Here is a 12,394-nt window from a genome sequence, read left to right as displayed (position 1 = left end):
GGCATCTGTTGTCTCTCTCGGTCTCAAAAGCCCTGTGAGTGGGTTCCTTATTCCTTGGCTGCGGGGGATGGGGGTGAGAGTCTTCTCGTACATTTGAAGGGGGTAGTCAGACTGCAACTGTCTAAAATCACCTCCTCATGCCAAGTGATGAGTGATAAATTAAGGAAGTGTAACTGAACTGAAGACCCAGCTTGGGTGATCAGCCCAGGTTTTGGAGGAAGCTGCTGCAAAACTACAAGTCCCAGCATGCCTTTCACAAGCACACTACACATCATCTATAGAGTTCACACATGCTCAGTGTGGTAGCTGGAGCCTGTTTTCCATAGGTTCCTGACTAGGTTAAATAAGGTGGAGCAAATAGCCCCACCCCAAAAGCAGGCTTCAGGATTTGAAGTTTGAGCCCATCCCTGAGGTAGAGCCGGAATTTACCTTTGTACTTCACACGGTCAGGGTTGGTGGTGACTACGTGGGTCTGGAGCTGACTGCCGTCCTGACACGTCCTAGAGCTGCAAGCAGGTTTGAATCCAGGATCCCTGTGACTCTGCTGTTCCTCTCCCCACCCCCTATATTCTTTATCCTTTTCCCTTCAGGACTTTCCCACAGGTTACTAGGTCTCACATAATTTCTACTGCCCTTGAGGACCCCTGCCTAAGTAAGATTTCTACTACCTGCCAACGGGGTAATAGTCTCAGGTAGATTTCTACTACCTGACTATAGGGACTGTCGACTAACTCTCAGTAGCCCTTTATCAAAATACCTAGCACTGTTTCCTGGCAGGAAATGCTGGGAAGGGTGGGCCCCAGAGCATGATCAACTGAAGGTAGAGGTTAAGGATCAGGGCTGAGGTGGGAAGATGGTGTCGGTCACCAAATATGACCTTACTGGCTGCTCTGCCTTCTGCAGGTCCTGCCAGAGAGCCACCATGACCTCTCAGCCTCTCAGGCTAGCAGAAGAGTATGGCCCAAGTCCTGGGGAGTCTGAACTGGCTGTGAACCCCTTTGATGGGCTTCCCTTCTCTTCCCGCTACTATGAGCTGCTGAAGCAGCGCCAAGCCTTGCCCATCTGGGCTGCTCGCTTTACCTTCTTGGAGCAGTTGGAGAGTAACCCCACTGGAGTGGTGCTGGTGTCTGGGGAGCCTGGTTCTGGCAAGAGCACCCAGGTGTGGTGGGGGTTGTGGGGGCAGGCAGATTCTGGGAGTGGACAAAGGGAGGACAAAGGGAGGACAAAGGGAAAGTGGCCTTTCCCTGGGCAAGGGGGGACTGGGCTGCGTGGGGTCATGAGGAAGGTGAACGAAGAGAGATGGGATGGGTTAGGTTGGCCCTGGAGGCTGGTGAAAGACCAGGGGACTCCCCAAATAAGGAAAGATTAAAGTGGCCATAGTTCCCTGAGCACTTCTGACTGAAGTCCTACATCTTCCTCACTGGCTCTCCTTCCCTACTTCTATCCCAGATCCCTCAGTGGTGTGCAGAGTTTGCGCTGGCCAGAGGGTTCCAGAAAGGACAGGTTACTGTTACTCAGCCCTACCCTCTTGCAGCCCGGAGCCTGGCTCTGCGGGTTGCTGATGAGATGGACCTGACCCTGGGTCATGAGGTTGGATACAGCATCCCCCAGGAGGACTGCACGGGGCCCAACACCCTGCTCAGGTGGGGGCCTCTGCAGGCCTTACCCGAATATAATTCCCCTTATTCAGTAGAAACAAACCCATTCCTCTGGCATCTCACCATACCCTCCCTTAGCCCAACTCACTCTTTTTTATTTTATTTATTTTGGAGAAAGGGTCTCACTCTGTCACCCAGGCTGGAGTGCAGTGGTGCAATCACAACTCACTGCAGCCTCAACCTCCCGGGCTCAAGTGATCCTCCCACCTCAGCCTCCCAAGTAACTGGGAATACAGGCGCGCACCTCCACGCCTGGCTAATTTTTATATTTTTTGCCATGTTGCCCAGGCTGGTCTCAAACTCCTGGGCTCAAGTGATCCACCCACCTCGGTCTCCCAAAGTGTAAGGACTACAGGCATGAGCCACCGTGCCTGGCCCCAACTCACTCTAAATTGTGTGTGGTGCAATGGCTAAAATAAGCCCTTGAATCCCAGCCAGGGGCCTCAGACATTCAGCCTCACCCTCATCAGAAAAATTTCACTTCCCAGCTGGCGTATACCTTGTGAACAAAGTGTTCTCAGCGGGGTTGTGGGGTGACAGTTATGGGTCCATAGGCTCAGGAAGTCACAGCATATTTTTCTGACCTTCAATATCAAAATATACGTCCCTTGGGGAGAAGATTCCCTGAGCTTGTGGGGCTGGTCAGTGTCCACACTGATTCCTCTGCCCACTACCAATGTCAACAGGTTCTGCTGGGACAGGCTGCTTCTGCAGGAGGTGGCCTCGACCCGAGGCACTGGAGCCTGGGGCGTGCTGGTACTAGATGAGGCTCAGGAGCGGTCGGTGGCATCAGATTCACTCCAGGGGCTACTGCAAGATGCCAGGCTGGAAAAACTTCCGGGGGACCTCAGAGTGGTTGTGGTTACTGACCCAGCCCTTGAACCTAAGCTCCGAGCTTTCTGGGGCAATCCTCCTATTGTGCATATACCCAGAGAGCCTGGTGAGAGACCTTCCCCCATCTACTGGGACACCATCCCACCTGATCGGGTGGAAGCTGCCTGCCAAGCAGTGCTTGAATTGTGTCGGAAGGAGCTTCCAGGAGATGTGCTAGTGTTCCTGCCCAGTGAGGAGGTAAAAAACAAAACAAAACAAAAAAAACAGCCTGCAAAATGAGCCTGCAAAAGGAGGTACTCATCATCATCTTCCAGTCCTGAGGAATGGGAATGGGAGCAATGCCTCTTAGGAACAGTAGAGTTGCAGTATTTACTCTCCGTTGGGGTCCCAGAGAAAAACTTGAGGATTTCAGGGTAAAGAGGTTTACCACTCACTTTTTTATTCCCTTTAATGCAGAGATTTGTGATTCAGTGAACCCCTGAAATTATAAAACCTTCAACTTTATGAGTAATTTGCATTTTCTCAGAGTGAAGGGCCATAACTTTCAACAGTCTTTCAAAGGGATCTGTGACCCCAAAAAACGTGAGAACTGCCCTAATGCCCCACCCACCCTTCTTCTCAGGAAATTTCCCTGTGCTGTGAATCCTTGTCCAGGGAGGTAGAGTCCTTGCTTCTCCAAGGGCTTCCACCACGAGTACTGCCCCTTCACCCAGACTGTGGACGAGCCGTTCAGGCTGTGTATGAGGACATGGATGCCCGAAAGGTTGTGGTCACTCACTGGCTGGCTGACTTCTCCTTCTCCCTCCCTTCCATCCAACATGTCATCGACTCAGGACTGGAGCTCCGAAGTGTGAGTGAGAGAGAGAGATAGCGGTGGGGTAGTAAAGACAGAAATGGCCCACTCTGATCTGTCTTGGCCTTGGTTGGGGGACGGGCAACAGGTTTACAATCCTAGGATCCGAGCAGAATTCCAAGTGTTGAGGCCAATCAGCAAGTGTCAGGCAGAGGCAAGACGATTGCGAGCAAGAGGGTTCCCACCAGGTAAGAGCCTTTGCCCTCACTGAAATAAAAAACCCAAGAGTCACCAACATGCAAGCCCTGAGAAATCTACAGTGGTCTTCTTTCCCAGGTCTTTTTCCCCTCAGGATCCTGCCTCTGCCTGTATCCTAAGTCCTTCTTAGAACTAGAAGCTCCACCATTGCCACAACCCAGGGTGTGTGAGGAGAATCTGAGCTCCCTGGTGTTACTACTAAAAAGGAGACAGATTGCAGAGCCAGGGGAGTGTCACTTCCTGGACCAGCCTGGTGAGCACCTCTCCTGCCCAAGCACTGCCATCTGACCACCCAGTTCTGAAACTTCATATCCTGTAAGCCCTGTTTCCTCACCAGCTCCAGAAGCACTGATGCAAGCCCTGGAAGATTTAGACTATCTGGCAGCCCTGGATGATGATGGGGACCTGTCAGATCTGGGTGTCATACTATCAGAATTCCCTCTGGCCCCTGAGCTGGCCAAAGCCCTGCTGGCCTCATGCGAGTTTGACTGTGTGGACGAGATGCTCACCCTGGCTGCCATGCTCACAGGTATAAATCGCTGCTGTAAATCCATAGCTCTTGAAACCACTTCAGCCCTTCCTCTTGGGTTTTGGTGCTCCTGAGGCTAGCCCTTTCCTCTCTGCTCCAGTTGCCACCCCTCACAATGCCTAAAGAACCAGGCTTAGTCACCCATCTCCCTCTTGTCTCTTTAGCCTTTTTTCTCTGCTGGTTCTTGCCCTCAGCATGCTTAAATCTCTCCTAATCTGTTATTGCTAAAACTCACACACCCCTCTTCCTCAACCCTATCCTCCCCTTCAGCTATGCAGCATGATTTCTATCCTGTTCTAACTGGTGTATTGCTCACCCACTGCACTCCAGCTTCAGGTCTACCATGCCAGTGAAACAGCTTTCAACTCACCAGTGACCTTCCAGGTACCTAATCCAGTGGATACTTTTGAACCCTTATTCATGACCTTCTTTTGACACTTGAGATTGCTGACCGCTCCACCTTGAAACTGCCTCCTCCCTAGGCCTCTGTAACGCTGCTCCTCATGGATTTCATCCTACGTCTCTGGTCATCCCCTTTATCTTTTCCTTGAGCTCTTTGTCCTCTTCTTATCCATTGTAAATTGGTCCTCAGGGTTCTATTCTTGCCTCTTTTGTCTTCTATTCCCTGAACTCTCTGAGCAAGTTTATCCACACCCATGGTTTGAAGTGCTACCTTTAGCCTTAAAATTTCCAAACCTTGTGCCGTGTATCTCTCACCCAATACCATTCTTCGAATCTGAGAGACAGAGAGAGAGCAAGGGAGAGACGCATGGGGAGAGGGGGAGAGAGGGAGAGGGAAAGAGGGGGAGAGAGGGAGAGGGAAAGAGGGGGAGAGGGGGAGAGAGGGAGAGGGAAAGAGAGGGAGAGAGAGAGAGCATACTCCAACTCCTGATGAACGTTTCTTTTTTTCTTTTTCTTTTTTTTTTTTTTCAGACAAAGTCTCACTCTGTCACCCAGGCTGGAGTGCAATGGCATGATCTCAGCTCACTGCAACCTCTGTCTGCCTGGTTCAAGCAATTCTCATGCCTCAGCCTCCCAAGTAGCTGGGACTACAGGCACGCACCACCATGCCCAGCTGATTCTTGTATTTTTAGTAGAGACGGGTTTTTGCCATGTTGGCCAAGCTGGTCTCAAAGTCCTGACCTCAGGTGATCCATCCACCTCAGCCTCCCAAACTGCTGGGATTACAGGCCTGAGCCTCGGCACCCAGCCCCTGATGGACATTTCTACCAGAATAGTTAACAGTACCTCAGCTCAGAACTGAACTCAAATGCTCTATTAAACCACTCCCTCACCACCATCACCACAAAATCTTTTCCTCTCTCTAGAGTCTTAGATTCAGATAATACTATTATCTCTGCTGCTCTGCTACCATCACTCTAGACCAGTCTTTCTCCAGGTTATTTCACTTTTATCTCCTAAATGTAAATATATATATAAATATATTCATCTGTCCTTCTCCATATTCACTTCCAGTGAATACGGTAGGTAGGATCTGCCAATGGTAGGTCCTCCTCATTGCTCAGCTGGTTTTCCTCAGTAGCCTCCTAACTAGTAATGTGAACTTTTTCAGACACATGGACTCTCTTACTTAAAAACTCTTCTTCAGCCAGGCGTGGTGGCTTGTGCCTGTAATCTCAGCACTTTGGGAGGCTGAGATGGGAGGATCACATGAGGTCAGGAGTTTGAGACCAGCCTGGGCAACATAGGAGAGACCCTGTCTCTACAAAAACAAAAAATTAGCCAGGTGTGGTGGCATATGCCTGTAGTCTCAGCTACTGAAGAGACTGAGGTAGGAGGATCATTTAAGCCTGGGAGGTTGAGGCTGCAACGGGCCATGATCACGCCACTTCACTCCAGCCTGGGCAAGAGAGTGAGACCCTGTCTCAAATAAACAAACAACAACAACAAAAAAAACCCCACAACTCTTCCTCTACAGCTACTCTTTACCTTAAAGACAGTTCCTTTCCTCAGTACTCCAGCCTCTCATGACCTTACCTATACCTACCTCTCCAGCTTTATCTCCTGCCATTCTGCCACGTCATTTCATTCCCTCCACCCATACCAGATGGCTTGCAGTTCCCCAAATATGCTATATTATTAACTTACGTGCCATGCTGTTGCCACAGTCTAAAACATACTCCCTGCCCCGTCTCCACTCGGCTAATTCCTACTCAAATTTCAAATACTAGCCCAAGGGTCCTCATCGTTTTCTCTTACATCACTCACATCCTCACCACCTAAAGCCTGGATTAGGTATCCTCCTCTTTGTTTCCACAGTACCATATACAAACACCTATCATGCTTATCAAGTCTGCTTACCTGTTGGTCTCTCCCACCAGACTTGAAGCTCCTTGATGGCAGAGACTGTATTTCATTTACTTATCCTCAATGTTTAATAAAGTGCATAGCACCTAGAAGTTATCTATGTCTTTTGAATAAAGTTCCCAAAGGGACACTTCTGCCTTTTCAGCATTCTACCTGTACTACTATCCCTTCCCATTTCCCAAATGGCAGATTCTACCTTCCACTCTTCTGCCTCCAGCTGCCCCTGGGTTTACCCGTCCTCCACTCAGTGCAGAAGAAGCTGCCCTGCGTCGGGCCCTGGAACACACGGATGGTGACCACAGTTCTCTGATCCAGGTGTATGAAGCCTTTATACAAAGTGAGTTCTGCATCCTTTTATAGAATCCCAGATTTTCCAAAGAGGGGAAATTTTATGCAGCCAGCTGACAGATCTCTATGCTCAGAAAGAGGAGGCCCTTTGGCTAAGGGTTGGGTTATTTCAGGGGTCTCAAGGACTTTAGTTTAGCTGGTCCCTTTCCTCTCCTAGGTGGAGCAGATGAGGCTTGGTGCCAGGCTCGAGGTCTGAATTGGGCAGCATTGTGCCAAGCCCATAAACTTCGGGGAGAACTCCTAGAACTCATGCAACGAATTGAACTTCCCTTGTCCCTACCAGCCTTTGGCTCTGAGCAGAATCGCAGAGACCTTCAGAAAGCACTGGTGTCAGGATACTTTCTCAAGGTTAGAGGAAAGGGTGGGGGTGAGGGTGATCAAAGGAGCAAAAGGCAAAGAGAACAAATATTGGTAAGCCACTTTGAAATCAGGGTCCAGGTGGCCATTCAAAAGATTCTTTAGAACCAGAAAGGACTTTTCCCTTGAGGATTTGAGGTACAAGGGGCTATGGTAAATGCCATGAGGTATAGTAGAGACCAGACAACACCTAGAGGTAATGCTTTACTTTTCATGCTCTCATCACCCTTACTCTTTCTCAATCCCCTTTTATTTTTTTCTACTGCCTGCCTCTTCCCTTTTATTTATTCCGTCAATATTTCTGCCTTTCAATAAGGTGGCCAGAGACACAGACGGGACTGGAAATTACCTTCTCCTAACCCATAAGCATGTGGCCCAGCTCTCCTCATACTGCTGCTACCGAAGCCGCAGAGCTCCTGCCAGACCCCCACCATGGGTGCTCTACCACAATTTCACCATATCCAAAGACAACTGCCTTTCCATTGTTTCTGAGATTCAACCACAGATGTGAGTTCCCTGACATCCCTCCTATACTGCCTATTCCTCTCCCTGGGGCCAAAATTATGGCTGGGGAGTTAGAGAGACAGAGGAAGGGATCTTAGTGGTTAGTAAAAACATGATCTGAGGAGACAGGATTTGTGGAAGGGCTGGTGAGAAGTTTAAAAGTCTGCATTATAAGAGAAGATGCACTTTTGGAGACCTAGGCAGGAGGAGTCCTTGAGGCTAGGAGTTTGAAACCACCCTGTAGTCCCAGCTACTTGGGAGATTGAGGTGGGAGGATTACTTGAGTCTAAGGCTAAGGATTACGGGAGTCTAAGGCTACAGTGAGTTATGATCATGCCACTGAACTCCAGCCCAGGTAACAGAGCGAGACCCTGTCTCTAAAAAGAGAGAGACAGAGAGAGAGAAGATGCAGATCATCTAATTATGACTCTCTCTATTAGGCTGGTGGAATTGGCCCCTCCATACTTCCTGAGTAACTTGCCTCCCAGTGAGAGCAGAGACCTTCTGAACCAGCTAAGGGAAGGAATGGCAGATTCTACAGCAGGGAGCAAATCATCCTCAGCCCAGGAGTTCAGAGATCCCTGTGTCCTGCAGTGACCTGCCTGCCTATGGAATGGAGCTGGGTTCATCTCATCACATTAGATTATCCCTCAGGGTGACACCAAAGCACCCAGACAGATTTAGAAGCCCAAAGTTTAGGGTCAAATGTAAACCCTGGAACCTGAGTCCCAAGAAATGGTAGACTGGGAATGGAAAGAATGGGGTAAACCACAGTCTACATAGGGAAGGACTCTTTCCTTAGCCTTCTCTTATTGATTGGAGAGGGACTGACATGCTCCTCATTCTCTTAACTTTGCCAAACCCATTCTTGTACTCCCTTGTGATCTATAAAAGATTTTTCTATGATGCCAAGTTTTAGTTTGGTCCTGCAGTGCCATATACAACATCCATAAATCAGTGATGATATTACAGTAAATAACCAGGGCCAGCTCCTCCAACTATATAGTCTCTAGCCTCTTCCCATCTCCAATCAGGCCTTCATGCTATGATCGACATAGTTGTCACTAGCACAGACATGAGTTGTCTGGCTACAGTTGGTCTCTAGCCTGGCCTCTCTTCCCTCTGTCACAGTGCACCAGCCTCCAGGGGACAAAGGATGGGGGTGCTAGAGGAATCAGACAAATTCTTCCCTTTCTTCCTCATACAGCTTAAATCCAATTCCTTTTTAAACCTTAAGGCTAATGCAACCATCCCCTAACTAGACTTTCTATTAACAAGCTTCCCAGCAGCCCAGACACACCCACAAGGGGAAGTCTTTCTAACAACTTCAGAGACATCATGCTTTCCTTTCTTTCTTCCTAGGTTCTCCTTCCTTCCCTTCCCCTTTTGTGCCCTCGGAATTTTTTTTTTTTTTTTTTTTTAGACGGAGTCTCGCTCTGTCACCCAGGCTGGAGTGCAGCGGTGCAATCTCAGCTCACTGCAACCTCCACCTCCCGGGTTCAAGCGATCCTCCTGCCTCAGCCTCCTGAGTAACTGGGACTACAGGCATGTGCCACCATGCCTGGCTAATTTTTGTATTTTTAGTCAAGACAGGGTTTCACCGTGTTAGCCAGGATGGTCTCGATCTCCTGACCTTGTGATCCTCCCGCCTCGGCCCAAAGTGCTGGGATTACAGGCGTGAGCCACCGTGCCCTGCCTGCCCTTGGACTATTGACTTAGGTATTCTCCATCATCTTGCACATTGCAAAGGTGGTTGTCGAATTTGGTGGAAAGGTTTAGTCCTTAGAACTCTGCTTTTCTCCTCAAGAGTTCCCTCCCTCAGAGATTCTATCTGTTCTCATTCATTCTATCTAGGTCCACCTCTATGTGGATGTCAGCTGATCTCCCTCAAAGGCACTTCTCCAGGATTTATTCTCTCTAGGTATAACATTTAGTTTTGCCTATACAGTTAATTTTGCTCCAGTCTTCCCAATTTCCCTTTCATCATCCACAGCACCATTGATTTCCTGATGCTGCACATTTCCAGTCTTGGAATTACCTTTGATTCTTCTTAAGCTTGTCACTTCCAAATTATTTTCCAAATTCTCTTCACCCTAACTCCACTGGGCCCATTAACTTTGTCCACTGTTTCCTCCTCTCCCTTCTCTGTCCCTATGTGACACCGGAGCCAGATTTTCTCTTTCGTTGGGTGTGTAAGTATCCGACTCGCCTCCTGCCCGGGCGTGTTGCCGGAGGATGTGGCCAGCAGGCTGAACACACATGACAACGTGAGGCTCAAAGTCAGGAAGGAATCCTTAGCGATTATTTTACAGTTGAGGGATGAGATGCCCGGGGTGGACAACCCTCTGGTTTCGGTCACAATCAGCCAGCCTCTCGCGCTCCAGCACCCCCTCTATTGCTTCGCCGTGGTCGGTGTCTTCTTTCCTTCACACCTTTGGTACAGACCCAGCCGGCACCGCGCGCAACGCCGCTAGAGCCCCTCAGAGCCCCAGCTCCCGACCACCCGCCGGAGAATTTCGAGTCCCTCAGGAAAGCAGCTCCCATTGGCCAGCCCGGCCCCCTCCCCGCACCTCATTGGCTACTGTCCTGCAGGTCCCGCCCTCTCGGCGCCTCAGGTTCCAGCGAGGGCGTAACGGCAGTGAAGTGAAAAATGGCGGGAAAGGCCGCCTCTGAGCTGGCCGTGCATCTGCGCAACGCTGGCTTGGGAGCCGGCCGGTGGTGGAGGAGCCCTCGACGACAGCCTCAAGGCCTGCCGCTCCTCACGCGCCCGGCTGCCACTAGACCATGGACGCAGGCAGCCGCGCGCTCCACCGCTCCGGGCCCGGCGCTCCACGCCGATCGGACGGGCGTCGCTCACACCACCGAGGCGAGCCCGGACACTGAAGCCACTTTGTTGTCCTCGGCCCAGGGCTGCAGGTTCTGCAGCGCGAAGAGCGACGAGTTGTGCAGGCAGAGAGGGTCCGGGGGCAGCGGCGGCCGCAGCGGCCGTGGCAACGCGTCCTGCTGCAGATGCAGGAGCAGCCGGCCCGCGCGGTGCCGCTCGGCCTCGCGCTCCTCCGCCGTCTGGCGCCTAAGGGAGGGAGACGCGGGGTCAGCGGGGCGCCCGCCGCGTCGCTTCTCACCAGGCCCTGCTCGGGAACCCCAGTCCGCCCTCGCCCGCGCCGCGCCTCACCGCCACTTGGTGCGTCGGTTCTGGAACCACGTTTTGACCTGTGCGTCGGTCATGCGCAAGGCCTTGGCCAGCGCCGCCCTCTCCGCAGAGGCCAGGTACTTCTGGCGCAGGAAGCGCCGCTCCAACTCCAGCACCTGTGAGCGGGAGAAGGACGTGCGCGGCTTCTTCCGCTTCGGAGGGGTCCGGTTTTGGTAGGGGTGGCCTATGCGGCGCGTCCCAGAGAAGGGCGAGAGCGCAGCTACCGGGAGGAAGAAAGACCAGGGCAGGATTTGCAGGGTGGCCCGAGGTGCCACTGAGAAGGCCGCGCGGCTGTCCAGGCCGCAGAACTCCCGCGCCCTGTCCTTACCCGGGCCCTAAGCATCAGCCGAGCCCTATAGCCAAGAAAGGCCCTTCCCCTGGGATGCGAGGGAGACGTCCCCTGTAACTTCACCCTCCCCTCCCCACGCGTGGACAGTGGGACTACAGAGGAGGGCGCGGGCACCGACGGCAGCTCCCTCCCCATCACCTCTCGGAGGCAGGACCCAGAGATTTGAGTTGGGGGAGGATCCCCTGGGAGGATCTAGTGGGAGGTGTGAAAGGGGTCCTTGAGTTGGAGCAGAAAGCTAAGAAATGAGGAGACGGGGTCAGAGTCGGGCGTGACGCTGGAGGGGTCAGACAACCTCACCCGTGAGCCGGTCCTTGGCAAAGCGGCGGCCGCTGTCCATCCAGGGGAAGGTGAGTCCCGCTAGGCCTCCGGCGCCGCCCAAACCCGAGGGCCCAGGCACTGCAGGCGCCCCCCCAGCGGGCGGCGGCACAGGCAGCGGGCGGTGCGCAGGGACGCGGATCACGCCGCCTGGGCCCACTCCGGAGCTGCCGGGCAGCGGGGCAAGTGAGCCGGCGGGACCGTAGCCCGAGGCTCCGTGGTATCCACCCGAGAACGCCCCATTCTCCCCATGACCCTGGCCCCCGCGACCCAGGCCTAGACCGCCCCCTGGGGTTTCGGGGCCGCTCAGGATCTGATCGATGCCGAAGCTGATTGGCTCGTGGTGTGGGAGGTTGTGTGGACCCAGCATCCCCGGCTCCATCGGTCTGGGCCGAGGAGAACCGCCGGAGGTTCGGTGGTTGGGGAGGATGCCTCAGGCAGCGCCAGAAGCCCAGCGGCGGCGCGCTCCGGAGAGTGGCCTCAGGGGCCCGCGGGGCTGGCCAAGGCAGGGCGCCGGGGTCCCCGAAACAGCAGCATCCCTGTGCACCCGGAGCAGCCGCGCCCGTGCCAGCCGCTGCCGGGCGTCAGCGCAGGGACTTGCATCCCGGGGGAGCACGGCCAGCTGGGGCCCCTGGAGCTTCCTTGCTGGCTCTTAAGCGCAAATAGACGCTGGGCTGCCGGCGCCGCTGCCCAAGTCCCGGGTGGAGAGGGTTGGCCAGCTCCGGCTGGGGCAGTGACTGACGGATCGGCCCGGGTGGGTAGTGGGGGCTGGGGGTAGGGCAGGGGCGGGGCCCAGCAGTTAAAGGGGAAGGGACGCCTGTTTGCGCCAAGCGCAGGGGGAAGGCTGGCTGGCGGAGATGTGCGGGGAGGGGGACAGGGGGCCAGGGTGTTAGGAGCCAGGCTCAGCGCGGGAGGGGCCCGAGCATGGGCC

General features: G+C 53.2%; 2 protein-coding genes across 5 annotated transcripts, besides 5 other annotated features; one reads left to right on the top strand and one right to left on the bottom strand.

Annotated features, from left to right (window-relative positions):
• Positions 154 to 323: an enhancer, noted in NCBI's record as "active region_16070". NCBI's record gives its function as "activates an Ori minimal core promoter by ATAC-STARR-seq in GM12878 lymphoblastoid cells {active_cell/tissue: GM12878}" and the evidence as "EXISTENCE:reporter gene assay evidence [ECO:0000049][PMID:35858748]".
• On the top strand, positions 421 to 8,521 carry DQX1 (DEAQ-box RNA dependent ATPase 1). Of its 4 annotated transcripts, NM_133637.3 has the most exons (12): positions 421 to 516; positions 904 to 1,159; positions 1,450 to 1,643; positions 2,345 to 2,729; positions 3,115 to 3,342; positions 3,434 to 3,533; positions 3,638 to 3,796; positions 3,881 to 4,072; positions 6,618 to 6,737; positions 6,906 to 7,096; positions 7,422 to 7,612; positions 8,050 to 8,521. In NM_133637.3, exons 2-12 carry the CDS (start codon positions 923 to 925, stop codon positions 8,204 to 8,206), a joined length of 2,154 nt encoding a protein of 717 aa, NP_598376.2. In that variant the 5' UTR covers positions 421 to 516; positions 904 to 922; the 3' UTR covers positions 8,207 to 8,521. The 4 variants fall into 4 exon arrangements, with proteins under 4 accessions (NP_598376.2, XP_047299539.1, XP_047299540.1 ...); XM_047443583.1 differs by lacking the exon at positions 904 to 1,159; XM_011532645.1 differs by lacking the exons at positions 421 to 516; positions 904 to 1,159; positions 1,450 to 1,643 and having other exon boundaries at positions 2,637 to 2,905.
• A 982-nt stretch (positions 8,522 to 9,503) lies between these two features.
• Positions 9,504 to 12,202, bottom strand: TLX2 (T cell leukemia homeobox 2). Its single transcript, NM_016170.5, has 3 exons — positions 11,446 to 12,202; positions 10,782 to 11,019; positions 9,504 to 10,679 (listed from the first exon to the last, which is right to left on the bottom strand). Exons 1-3 carry the CDS (start codon positions 11,843 to 11,845, stop codon positions 10,463 to 10,465), a joined length of 855 nt encoding a protein of 284 aa, NP_057254.1. The 5' UTR covers positions 11,846 to 12,202; the 3' UTR covers positions 9,504 to 10,462.
• Positions 9,965 to 10,464: an enhancer, noted in NCBI's record as "H3K27ac-H3K4me1 hESC enhancer chr2:74743315-74743814 (GRCh37/hg19 assembly coordinates)". NCBI's record gives its function as "activates a minimal SCP1, AML or CMV promoter by ChIP-STARR-seq in naive H9 embryonic stem cells {active_cell/tissue: H9 hESC(naive)}" and the evidence as "EXISTENCE:reporter gene assay evidence [ECO:0000049][PMID:30033119]".
• Positions 10,465 to 10,966: an enhancer, noted in NCBI's record as "H3K27ac-H3K4me1 hESC enhancer chr2:74742813-74743314 (GRCh37/hg19 assembly coordinates)". NCBI's record gives its function as "activates a minimal SCP1, AML or CMV promoter by ChIP-STARR-seq in naive H9 embryonic stem cells {active_cell/tissue: H9 hESC(naive)}" and the evidence as "EXISTENCE:reporter gene assay evidence [ECO:0000049][PMID:30033119]".
• Positions 11,495 to 11,564: a silencer, noted in NCBI's record as "silent region_11667". NCBI's record gives its function as "represses an Ori minimal core promoter by ATAC-STARR-seq in GM12878 lymphoblastoid cells {active_cell/tissue: GM12878}" and the evidence as "EXISTENCE:reporter gene assay evidence [ECO:0000049][PMID:35858748]".
• Positions 12,145 to 12,244: a silencer, noted in NCBI's record as "silent region_11666". NCBI's record gives its function as "represses an Ori minimal core promoter by ATAC-STARR-seq in GM12878 lymphoblastoid cells {active_cell/tissue: GM12878}" and the evidence as "EXISTENCE:reporter gene assay evidence [ECO:0000049][PMID:35858748]".

This window comes from Homo sapiens, chromosome 2 (assembly GCF_000001405.40).
Source record: "Homo sapiens chromosome 2, GRCh38.p14 Primary Assembly".
NCBI lineage: Eukaryota > Metazoa > Chordata > Mammalia > Primates > Hominidae > Homo > Homo sapiens.
Note: the sequence above shows the minus strand (reverse complement) of the source record. Positions and strands in the feature narration are given on the sequence as shown.